This window comes from Homo sapiens, chromosome 1 (genome assembly GCF_000001405.40).
Source record: "Homo sapiens chromosome 1, GRCh38.p14 Primary Assembly".
Lineage (NCBI taxonomy): Eukaryota > Metazoa > Chordata > Mammalia > Primates > Hominidae > Homo > Homo sapiens.
This window is the reverse complement of record NC_000001.11, coordinates 154,247,402-154,259,899: the sequence shown is the minus strand read 5'-3', so window position 1 is coordinate 154,259,899 and position 12,498 is coordinate 154,247,402. Positions and strand designations below refer to the sequence as shown.

At 43.8% G+C, this 12,498-nt stretch overlaps 1 protein-coding gene and 1 non-coding gene across 53 annotated transcripts in view; both read right to left on the bottom strand.

Annotated features, from left to right (window-relative positions):
* Nucleotides 1-12,498, bottom strand: part of UBAP2L (ubiquitin associated protein 2 like) — a 51,339-nt gene that overhangs the window by 11,611 nt on the left and 27,230 nt on the right. For all 52 annotated transcript variants that reach the window (XM_047435869.1, XM_047435875.1, XM_047435827.1 and 49 more), the window contains exons 12-21: nucleotides 10,463-10,661; nucleotides 8,582-8,859; nucleotides 8,247-8,419; nucleotides 5,811-6,000; nucleotides 5,010-5,064; nucleotides 4,574-4,748; nucleotides 4,145-4,217; nucleotides 2,642-2,837; nucleotides 2,466-2,554; nucleotides 870-923 (exon numbers count right to left, since the gene is read on the bottom strand). In XM_047435869.1, coding sequence (XP_047291825.1) covers nucleotides 870-923; nucleotides 2,466-2,554; nucleotides 2,642-2,837; nucleotides 4,145-4,217; nucleotides 4,574-4,748; nucleotides 5,010-5,064; nucleotides 5,811-6,000; nucleotides 8,247-8,419; nucleotides 8,582-8,859; nucleotides 10,463-10,661 — 1,482 coding nt within the window. The remainder of the gene's footprint in view (nucleotides 1-869; nucleotides 924-2,465; nucleotides 2,555-2,641; nucleotides 2,838-4,144; nucleotides 4,218-4,573; nucleotides 4,749-5,009; nucleotides 5,065-5,810; nucleotides 6,001-8,246; nucleotides 8,420-8,581; nucleotides 8,860-10,462; nucleotides 10,662-12,498) is intronic.
* SNORA58B (small nucleolar RNA, H/ACA box 58B) lies at nucleotides 38-173 on the bottom strand. The gene has a single exon (NR_145714.1). It is a non-coding gene; the product is annotated as a small nucleolar RNA, H/ACA box 58B (small nucleolar RNA).

Here is a 12,498-nt window from a genome sequence, read left to right as displayed (position 1 = left end):
CAGCATGAGTACTATTTCCACGGAGGAAAAAACAGAAGAATGTGAGAGTTGTGCAATTTATCCAGTCACTAATTAAGCTGGCTAGAGTTAGCACAAACTCCACATTACTCTTGCATACACTGTCCCCCCTGCCTGGCCATGAGCACAGTCAGACAAGGTCTACGGGTATGCCCACTTGAGAATACATCAAAGTCCACGAGGACCAATATTTTCAACCCTCTAGGTGTCATCCCTATCAGTTTATACCAAGCTTATTCTACTGAGAAAACAGATCATTCGATAATTTAAAGTGTCTGGGACAAACAGAAAGCACCCTGAGTGCTCCAGAGTACTTTACTGGGCTATAGAATAGGTTAAAATGTATTTACTAAGATGCCACAACTCTGATTTAAAAAAAGAAAAAAAAAAGGCTGGGTGCGGCGGCTCATGCCTATAAGCTCAGCACTTAGGGAGGCAGAGGCGGGTGGATCATAAGGTCAGGAGTTCAAGACCAGCTTGGCCAAGATGGTGAAACCCCGCCTCTACTAAAAATACAAAAAAAATTAGCTGGGGGTGGTGGTGGGCACCTTTAATCCCAGCTACTCGGAAGGCTGAGGCAGACAATTGCTTTAACCCAGGCGGCGGAGGTTGCAATGAGCCAAGATCACACCACTGCACTCCAGCTTGAGCGACAGAGAAAGACTCTGTCTCAAAAAAAAAAGTTATCTTCTGTTGGAAACCCTCCCCCAAATCCCTATATTCTAATATGCCTTAAATCAGAGTGTATGGAGGGCTGGGATGGGAAAGAGCTATGTCTGTGACGGAGATAATTCTCCCAACACTAATTTTAAGACTACTTTCTTTTCCAAAGCTCTATCCCACATACTCACCAATGGAAATCTTGTCTGAAGCATCTGCAAGTCATCATAACCATATACTTGTGGCTGAAAGATACAGACATATAGCAATAACAGGAACTGGTCATGATGTTAGCAAAACAAGGAGCCAAGAGACAAGCTAATTCAACAGAACATTCATCCTCATTCTGGGTTAGAACAGGACACGGATTATTTCCTTCAATTTTATTTAAGGAAAAAGCAGTAAAGTACACAGAGATTAAATGATTCATGAAAGGTCTTGAAGCTTTCCTTGAGCTAAATACTACTGATTCTAGTAGGCTGGCTTCTTGATACCAATAGAGTAGACACAAAACATACACGAACAACCAGTTTTACTCTCTATTCTACAAGTCTCTGTCTCTTATACTCTTCAAAATCTGGCTTAAAAATAATCTCCTCTGGAAAGAATACTTCACTTTTCTCCAATGTCAGGGTTTTAAGGTAGTGACCACAAATTAAAAATGTGTAACTGTGTTATTTGGATGTGTCATCGGTATGAAATTTATCTAGACTTTGTCTATGAGGGCAGGAACAGGTATCTTCTAAAACGTTTCCATATATCCTTCATCTTAATAGGTACCAAATACTTGAAGGTCACAGAAGATACACTAGGGCAAAAAGCTACTAATGTCAGCCACTTATTCTCAAAGTCCCAGATTGAGTCAGGAAACTTTCCTCTAACCAGGCCAGACCAGCAAACACACTCAGAGTTAGGGATTTAATCAAATCAGAGAAAATAATTCTTGGGGCCAGGAGTAGTGGCTCAGGCCTATATATAACCCCAGTTATTTGAGAGGCTGAGGCAGGAGGACTGTCTGAACCTGGGATTTTGAGACCAGCCTAGGCAACATAGGAAGACCCTGTCTCTAAAAAAATTTTTAAAACTTAGCCAGGCATGGGGATGCACACCTGTAGTCCTAGCTACTTGGGGAGTCTGAGGTGAGAGGATTGCTTGAGCCCAGGAGTTCAAGGCTGCAGTGAGCTAGCTATGATCGTTCCACTGTACTCCAACCTGGGTAAAAGAGCAAGATCTGCCTCAAAAAATAAAATAATAGTCATAATTATCTAAGAAACCAAAAAGGATTCCAGATGAACATTCTGGCCTTTGGCTTCTGAGGCCCAGAAGCTGTGTTTCAAACAGGGCAGATATTCTCATCACACATATACATACACATTGTACGCACACACACACATGCATACATGTGTGCACCATAAACCAAAGCAGATACACAATAGATGGGTTGGCCTCAGTTTAGTATTTTTTCCAAAACTGCAAAGATTAAAAACCAGTTTGATTACATGTGGCAATCCCTCATTTATTTTATATTTTAATTACAGTTGACCCTTAACACAGGTTTGAACTGCACGCTGTTTATATATGAATTTTTTCCAACCAGACACACAGATCAAAAATACGGCCACATTTACAGAATGCAAAACTCATATACATGGATTCCACAGAGCCAACTGCAGGGCTTGAGTATGTGCAAGTTTTGGTATTCACAGGGGTCCATCTGAAGCCAGAGCTATAAAAAGAGTAGCCACAACATCCTCACCTTTTGAAGAAGATCCTTTAGTCCCACTTACCGGGTAGGCATGTAACAGCCCTGGAGCCATAATATACGGATTAGGCAACAACGGCGGGACCCCAGGAGGGAGGTTGGGAGGAGCTTTTCCTAAAAGAGAAATTACATTTTTATCCCATCACACAATTACTTACCTCCTCCATCCCAGAGGAATGCCATCTGCTTATGCAAGGCTACCTGAAGTCGTAGCAACTGAGCTTCGAGTCGAGGCTGTGACAGTGGAGTTGCTGCCTAGGCTGAGGCCCAGGCTACTGCCACTATTGAGACTGGAGGAGACACTGACCACTGGGGGAGGTGCAGAGACTGTGCTGGATGTGGTGGAAAAAGTGCTGGAGGAAGAATGGAGATTCGCCTCACTCTCCACACTTGTGTGCTTCAAAAGGGGGAGCAGTGGAAGAGAGAAGAAGAAAAGAGATCAGCATCATAGGTCAGGAAAAATAAGACAATCCCTCCTGCTGAATATATTATGATGTCAACTTCCTAATTAAAGAGGCCAAGTAGGCAAGGTACCAAAGTACACCCTGCTAAAGTAGTTAGAAATAATCTCCAGCTACATATTCCTCAAGACTCATCTGGCAAGAATGGTAACAGACTCACTGCACATCATCATCCTGTTCAGAAAGACAGTAAAGCAAATGGAGACAGATTCCCCAGAGACTAACACTGGCTGATAAAGGAACAGAGAGAGTTGAGATGTAAAAAATATATCACAGCTTTCTCTCCCCAACTTTTCTTTACTAGTTGAGACCAGTTTGTGGACTAGGAAAAAGCAAAAATTCTGATTTTACATTTTTTTTGAGACAGGGTCCCATCCTGTTGCCCAGGCTGGGGTGCAGTGGTGCAATCTTGGCTCACTGCAACCCTGGCCTCCTGGGCTCAAACAGTCCTTCCACTTCAGCCTCCCGAGTAGCTAGGACTCTACGAATGTACCACCATGCTTGGCCAATCTTCAAAAAATTTTTATGGAGATGAGGTCTCACTATATTGCTCAGGTTGGTCTCAAACTCCTGGGCTCAAGCAATCCTCCTGCCTTGGCCTCCCAAAGTGTTGGGATTACAGAGGTGAGCCACTGCACCTGTCCACAATTCTGACTTTAAATCTGAAACTGTGTATTTGAATAGAGACTCCTAAAGGAGCCTTAGCCCTCATACCTCCCCAGGCTTCCGGCAAATCTGATACTTTTGTCCAAAATGGGTCCTTCCCTTTACAGGCTCAGCTTAATTCTATTAATAGTTGTTACAAATCAAAACAATAAAATTGACTCTTGGACCAAAAGCTCTCACCTGGCATCTACTTTCACAAAAATGTCCAGCCTTGCACTGATTCTTTTCAGAACTTGGGCATACCCAAGACCAAGGAAAGAGAACAGCTCTACCAGTTGGAAAGGTATGTTCTTCCAGAATTTATTAAAGCATACAAAGCCCAACTATATATTCAGTAGGGGAAAAAAATCAGAAAGTCACTTTCAGGGCTTTTAGGAATGACCCAGAGCTCAATGTTTAGGGATTCTTCTGCCTCTCTTGGCTTCCTAACATCCCTTTACTCCTTTTCCTGCAACCTCAAATCAATTATTTTGCCACCTCATGAAGAAATTTTCAATAATTCTCTCTTGGGACAATCTTACAGTTGGACAGTTCTAAGTGTAAGAAAACCACACATCCCTCTCAGCATCACACTTACCAAAAGAGTGGATGTCGAAGTGCGCCCAGAAGATGTTGATGATGAAAGGGTATTCTGCTGCGTAGATAACGTGCTGTCAGAAAAAAAGAGGCTGCCATCAGCCATAGTGCTATAGTTACGTGACCTGGAGCTTCAGTCAAGAACATAACAAGGAAATAAGACATAATATGGGACACCAAGGAGGTCTGAGATCATATGTTAAGCACAATGGCCAGCCAGGGGTAGAGAGCAGTTAAAGCAAAAGTGGATGTTGAAAGGGGAAAATTAAAACAAGCCTCCTCTGTCTTCACTTCCCACAGTTCTTAGGTCACCCACTTACGACAAAAGCAGGGCTAATGTGGTCTCTGCCAGGTCAAGGGAGTAATAAGGACCAGAGAGCTCTGTTATTGCTATTCACCAACCCCAACCTCCATCCTCACCCCAAATCACCTGCTGTGTTGTGTGGTGGTAGTATTTGGAATCTCCTCACTGTGGCTCAAGCCACCCAAGGAGGATGAATGCTGATTGGTTGTCGTCAGTAAGGAAGCTGCAGATACCGTTTCATTGAGAGGGGGGATGCTAGAAGTGGAAGGTGAATCAGATTTCACTGCAGAGCCTGTAGCACCTAGAAATTTAGAAGAAAGGAATTCCTCTCATCAGAAAAAAGGGAATGTCTATAGAGAGGTGACCACAGTCCAAGGCAGTTCCAAAGACAAAAGGATGAGTTATTTAACAATGGACTATATTAGGTAGAATCTTTTTTCTTTAATGCTGAGAATTACACAGCATGGGTCTCAATTGTCCAGTGAAGGGAACTAATGGATTATCACCATTTTAAGATAGAAAACCAGAAACTTAGGAGGGGAAAAGCCTGAAGAACACTCACCTTCAACAGATTGTGTGGTCTGTAACTGCGTGGCCTGCACAGAACTGAAGCCATTCTGGTAAAAAAAAAAAAAACAGAAGAGCAAGAAACAGACAAACTCATGTGAATGAGGAAAGTTAGCACTGATGCAGCTTTATTTTGGTCAACAAATCTTTAGGAGAAACTCTGTAAATTAACCAAAAGGATTAATATTAATACAATGTAGACTATCCAAAAAACCAAAATAGGAACAAAAATTAAACAACAAAACTGAGATATACCAACACTGTGTGACCAAAAGCAAAAGAAGGAAACCCTACAAATTGTTGAAGACACCCCAAACCTAAAACAGATAGAGGAAAGGCCCAAAGTCCACATCCAGTGATTTTTGGGGAAGGGTAAGTACAACAGTTCAGCCACACCACCTATTCCGCTGGCTGCATCTGACACTCACTCCACATCACCTCTGGCACATGCTGTCTCCCTCACCATGCCAGGACTTAGCAAGGTGAGGTCTACTGACACGCACCCAGAAATCTGGCAATCACATCTTCCCAGAAGACAGGACAGGCACTTGAGACTGATTCTACTAGAGGCAATGAATTTTTAGTACAAAGAGAATGGTTTCCTGGCTCTTCAGTCTCCGGGTTTGCTGATAAGAACTTTTAATTCACTAGCCACAGATGTGTGCCTTTTTCAAATTCTCAATCACTACTTCCAAAGTTTCTTAGCACCACTTGCTGAAAAGTAAAACACTAATATTTAAGGAATTTTTGCCCACTATTCTCCTAACCAATTCCCAAGGGTTCATGAAGCCACTACCTTTGCCTGAGTCAGGTCCTTTTGGGGTGATGAAGAGATGGAGCTGGGGTACCGCCGAGTCTGTGTGGATCTCTGTTCATAAAGAGGGCCCTGAGCATTATTTTGGGAGGTATAGGTTGTCGACTGAATTGGGCCGCTCTGATAACCAGACTCCTGACTCTGGTTAGATGAAATTGTAGAGGATGATTCACTGTGAGTAACGAAGAGAAAAATCTCAGAGAAACAAAATAGAGCATATCTACTCATACTAAGGAAATCGTGGAGATCTACTAGTGGAATAACTTGATTTGAATCAAGAAGAAATTTTTCAGCAACAAATAGAAGAATCTACCAAAATTTCCTCCTGATAACACTAGGAATCCCTACCTTCTATAGCGCCAGAGATCTGAATTAAGAATTAATCTTAAAAAAACATCTAGGCCGGGCGCAGTGGCTCACGCCTGTAATCCCAGCACTTTGGAAGGTCGAGGCGGGCGGATCACGAGGTCAGGAGATCAAGACCATCCTGGCTAACATGGTCTCTACTAAAAATACAAAAAAATTAGCCGGGCATGGTGGCGGGCACCTGTAGTCCCAGCTACTTGGGAGTAGGCAGGAGACTGGCATGAACCCGGGAGGCGCAGCTTGCAGTGAGCCGAGATCAAGCCACTGCACTCCAGCCTGGGTGACAGAGCGAGACTCCATCTCAAAAAAAAAAAAAAAAAAATCTTAAAAACATCTTCAAGTCTTCAAGGAAGAGAAAAGTCCCTTGGCTCCCCCCTACATTTTGCTGTTATAAGAAAAAGTGGACCCGGAAGCCGTGGCTCATGCCTGTAATCCCAGCACTTTGGGAAGCCAAGGTGGGCAGATTACAAGGTCAGGAGATCGAGACCAGCCTGGCCAACATGGCGAAACCTTGTCTCTACTAAAAATACAAAAAATAGCCAGGCATGGTGGTGGGCGCCTGTAATCCCAGCTACTCAGGAGGCTGAGGCAGGAGAATCACTTGAACCTGGGAGGCAGAGGTTGCAGTGAGCTGAGATCGTGCCATTGCACTCCAGCCTGTGTGACAAGAGCAAGACTCTGTCTCAAAATAAAAAAGTGGCTAAATGTCGGTATACAGGATACATTACTCTTGGCCCCTTCTATACATTATAACATGGACCCTAAGCACAGGAAAAGCCATCTTTTGTTCACACTCATTTTAGAGAATTCTGAATTCTAGGCTCCCTCAAGAACCATATAAGATTTGGGCCGGGTGTGGTGGCTCACGCCTGTAATCCCAGCACTTTTGGAGGCCAAGGTGGGCAGATCATCTCCATTCAGGAGTTCAAGACTGGCCTGAACAACATGGTGAAACCCCATGTCTACTAAAAATACAAAATTAGCTGGGCATGGTGGTGCATGCCTGTAATTCCAGCTACTAGGGAGGCTGAGGCAGGAGAATTGCTTAAACCTGGGAGGCAGAGGTTGCAGTGAGCGGAGATTGCACCATTGCACTTCAGCCTGGGCAACAAGAGCAAAACTCTGAGCCAGGCGTGGTGCCTCATGACTGTAATCCCAGTCCTTTGGGAGGCCGAGGAGGGCAGATCACCCGAGGTCAGGAGTTCAAGACCAGCCTGGCCAACATGGTGAAACCCTGTCTCTACTAAAAATACAAAAATTAGCCGGATGTGGTGGCACATTCCAGTAATCTCAGCTACTCAGGAAGCTGAGGCAGGAGAATTGCTAGAACCTGGGAGGCAGAGGTTACAGTGAGCCGAGATCACACCACTGCACTCCAGCCTGGCAACAGAGCAAAACTCCATCTAAAAAAAAAAAAAAAAAAAAAATCTGGGCTGGGCACGGTTGCTCACCCCTGTAATCCCAGCACTTTGGGAGGCCGAGGTGGGTAGATCGCTTGAGGTCATGAGTTCTAGACCAGCCTGGCCAACATGGTAAAACACCATCTCTACTAAAAAATACAAAAATTTGCTGGTTATGGTGGTGGGCACCTGTAATCCCAGCTACTCGGGAGGCTGAGGCAGGAGAATCGCTTGAACCCGGGTGGCAGAGGTTGCAGTAAGCCGAGATCGCACCACTGCATTCCAGCCTAAGCAACAGAGTGAAACTCTGTGTTTAAAAAAAAATTTTTTTTGTAGAGACAGGGACTCATTATGTTGCCCAGGCTGGTCTTGAACTCCTGGCCTCAAGCAATCCTCCTGCCTTGGCCACCCAAAGTGCTGGGATTATAAGTGTCAGCCATCACACCCAGCCCCTAAGGGGCATATTTCTACCTGTTTAGTTACAGATAACCCTAATAACAATATTTTAAAGCACTAAAAATGCTATGACTGACTACTTTCCCCCTCAGCCATGCAGAGGGGCTTGGCCTCTCCAGAGTTCTAGAAATCTCCCACAGATTAAAAAAGTAGTAAAGGTTAATAAGAGAGGTCTTATGGTTAATGTTTCCTCTACCTGGCCGTGCTGGTATACAGGCTACTTGGAGCCTGGCTTGAAGAGGCGCTCGTGGTGGGGGTGGACTCATAATCAGAAAGGACAGGCTCTGACCCAAACTGCAATGCCCCAAACTGCAGGTTTAGCCCTGAGATATCTGCTGAGCCAGGCATCTCCACAGCCAGAGCAGGAATCTATAAAGTTGAAGGAGAAGAGAAAGTAATGGCTTTAATACAACCTTACTAAAGACTAAAAAAAACCCTTCCCTTTAAATTTCCAAACTTACCCTTTTAATCTCAATTCTCAAGCCCCACACCCCTTGCCATAAAATGGTATCTACCTAAAAGTTTAAGTACCTTAGAAGTCAAGGAGGCTTTTTTCTTCTGCTGTTTCAGTTTCTGCTGAGCCGGCTGAGGGCTAGAGGACTGGTTGTCTGAAGATCCAGGCGACATCTGTGGAGCCGATGTGGATTTGCTTGGCAGAGGAGAAGACGGAGGTGGAGGTGCAGCTGTGGAGGTAGCCACTGCAGGTGACTTCTCCTGAAGGAACACCTCCATCATGGTTGAAGATGGGGTAAAAGCCTGGCGCTTTGTAAAGGGGCTGTGCACTGCTGAATCACTTGGGTTCTTCAAATCTGCAAGAGGAAACCCAGTATATGAAGCCAGAGATGCTAATGAATCTCAAGGAAATGCTATTGTCCTGCACTAGCACCATGAATGAGGACTGTAAAAATCAGAAACTCATATAAGCAGGCCCTCTTTTGGGGCTTAATCTCATTTCTATAGGTGACAATCACTGGATTACATCTTTTTTTTTTTTTTTTTTTTGAGATGGGAGTCTTGCTCTGTCACCCAGGCTGGAATGCAATGGTGCAATCTCAGCCCACTTCAACATCCGACTCCTGGGTTAAAGCAATTCTCTTGCCTCAGAGTAGCTGGGACTACAGGCGCGCGCCACCATGCCTGGCTAATTTTTGTGTTTTTAGTAGACACGGGGTTTTGTCATGTTGGCCAGGCTGGTCTCGAACTCCTGACCTCAAGTGATCCGTCCGCCTCGGCTTCTCGAAGTGCTAGGATTACAGGCATGAGCTGCCGCACCTGGCCTACAACCATCCTTAAATAAAGCCTAACTAAATCAACATTACCCTGTCTGTGTAAGACAGGAATGCACAAATTGTCCAAGTTTAAAGTACCGCAAGTTCTCATTTAACATCCATAGGTGCTTGGAAACTGGCTTTAAGCAAAAACAAGGCATGGCATATCTTGGCATAACGTTGTTTCCTTCAACATGATTTCATTATAATGTTGATGAGGAAAAAAAAATGGCCAGGTGCAATGGCTCACGCCTGCAATCCCATCACTTTGGGAGGCCAAGACCAGCAGATCGCCTGAGCCCAAGAGACACACCTGGGCAACACGGTGAAAACCCATCTCTACAAAAAATTAAAAATTAGCCAGGCATGGTGGTACAAGCCTGTGGTCCCAGCTACTCAGGAGGCTCAGGTGGGAGGACTGCTTGAGCCCAGGAAGATGAGTGAGCCAAGATAGTGCCACTGTACTCCGGTCTGGATGACAGAACTAGACCTTGTCTTATGTTTCGCATAAAGTCGCAAGAACCTATCAATGACATTAAGTGAAGACTTACTGTATAAGGTCTTAAGATGGCTAAGCCTAAGAACCTGGAGGCAATATGTTATTTTCAAACACTGAAGATAAATCTAAGGAGAATAATAATAATAATTAAAACCCCAATCAACAGAAGACTGCAACTATGTATATGGTTAAAAATTTTTCTTTTTTTTTTTTTTTTTGCGGAAAGCTAGCTTCACACTAGCTCACCCTCACTAGGGGCTGGGACCACAGGTGCACACCACCGCACTCAGCTAATTGAAAACAATTTTTTTAGAAATGGAGTCTTGATATGTTGCTCAGGCTGTTCTTGAACTCCTAAGGCTCAGGCTGTCCTCCCACTTCAACCTCCCAAAGTGCTAGGATTACAGGTGTAAGCTACCATGCCCAGCCTCTAAATGTGATGAGAAATACATAGCCTCAAATTTTATTATTCCCCAACTTCTTGAATTCAGCTTATTTGATTAGGGGAAATACATGTGGGAAGGTAACCAACTAGCTGCCCCTTTTCTTCACTTCAGGACACATTCTCCACCCCCTCCCCCTGCTAGCCTCTTGACAGTAATGCTCCAATGCTTTAAAGATTCAAGTCACTTTCCATCTTCTCACCATACTGCACCAGTGATGGGGATTGTGTCGTCGAGCCCATGTCCCAAGAGGAGGTGGTGGTGCTTCCAGACTGAGAATGCTGAGCTGCCAACTGAGCCAGGGCTTGGGCAGTCTTGAATTGCTCCAAGAACTGGGAGCCTGTAGTACTGCCGCCTTTAGCTTCACCGACATCACCAAATCCTTTCCCTAACATGCTCACCTGTAGATCAACAAAGAGATGAGAGAAACCTACAGCCAGTAACCTTGTTCAGCTACTCATAAAGACACTTATCCAGACCGAGAGCCAGTATAGATCAGGCAAGTAAAGAATACTGTCACACTGAGTATACAGCATAGTCCACTAGAGTATAGGACCTAGAGTCAGACTGTCTTAGATTGAAATCCTGGCTATGTAAGCTTGGAAAAACTATTTTTTAATCTCTCTTTCCTCATCTGGAAATAGGAATAAAAGTAAAGCTGTAGGAGGATTAAATAAATTAAAGCACTTAATACATGTATGGCACATAGTAATCACTAAAAAAACAGAGCCATTAAAACTTCATATCATCATTACTTCCTTCTCCCTGCTTCTCAGGGATAAAATTTGGCTGACTGGAGAATTTTTGTTTTTGTTTTTGTTTTTGAGACAGAGTCTCGCTCTGTCACCCAGGCTGGAGTGCAGTGGTGCTATCTCGGCTCACTGCAAGCTCCGCCTCCCAGGTTCACACCATTCTCCTGCCTCAGCCTCCCGAGTAGCTGGGACTACAGGCACCCGCCACCACACCCGGCTAATTTTTTGTATTTTTAGTAGAGACAGCGTTTCACTGTGTTAGCCAGGATGGTCTCGATCTCCTGACCTCGTGATCCACCCGCCTCGGCCTCCCAAAGTGCTGGGATTAGAGGCGTGAGCCATCACACCCAGCCGAGAATTTTTAAATCAACCAATACAATTAACATAAATGTAATATAAGATTTTACTTTTGCCATTAAGGTCCTTGCCCTTCTCATTAAAAAAACTCAAAAGAAACAACAATTAACTGGAGCCTCATCTCGATGCTGCTAATAACTAGCACAGAGGCAAAAAGGAAAAGTTAAAGGGCATCCCAACTTCTGCACTAGACAATCAAGTAGCAAGTCAGTATGATTTGATTGTTTTCTCCATGTACATACAAGTTCTATAGGGTAATCACTGGGCCGAATGCGGTGGCTCACGCCTGTAATCCCAGCACTTTGGGAGGCTGAGGCGGGCAGCTCACCTTAGGTCAGGAGTCCTAAACCAGCCTGACCAACATGGTGAAACCCTGTCTCTGCTAAAAATACAAAATTAGCCAAGCGTGGTGGCGGGCGCCTGTAACCCCAGCTACTCAGGAGGCTGAGGCAGGAGAATTGCTTGAACCCAGGAGGTGGAGGTTGCGGTGAGCCAAGATCGCGCCATTGCACTCCAGCCTAGGCAACAAGAGTGAAACTCTGTCTCAAAAAAAAATAAAAAATAAATAAAAAATAAAAACAATTAAAATTACCTAGTGTTCACTGTATTATACATAAAAATATAAAGAAACTCCCATGTTATTTAGCTCTATTAAATTTTAAGTGAAATTAATCCTCTAACATTTATTCTCAATAGAAAGGAAATTACATTATCTAACATATTGATTAGTACAGGCAACAAAAAAACAGAATAGTATTTATACTTAGTTTTCACATTTTTATTTAAAAAAAATTTTTTTTTAGAGAAAGGGTTTCATTCTGTCACCCAGGCTGGAGTACAGTGGTGAGCTCAAAGCTCACTATAGTCTTGAACTCCTAGTCTCAAGCAATCCTCCCACTTCAGCCTCCAGAGTAGCTGAGACTACAGGAACGTGTCACTGTCCCCAGCTGAAAACATCTTTTTGATATCAAAAGTCTGATTTCGTTGTAAATTTTCACAATTCCAGACATTAAGAGGGCAATTAAGAGACATAGATCACATAATCACATTTTCCAGTCATTTATCTTTAAGGGTTGGTAGTTACTTCTTGATCTTCATTACACCTTCTTACAACCTTTGTCCTATTTTC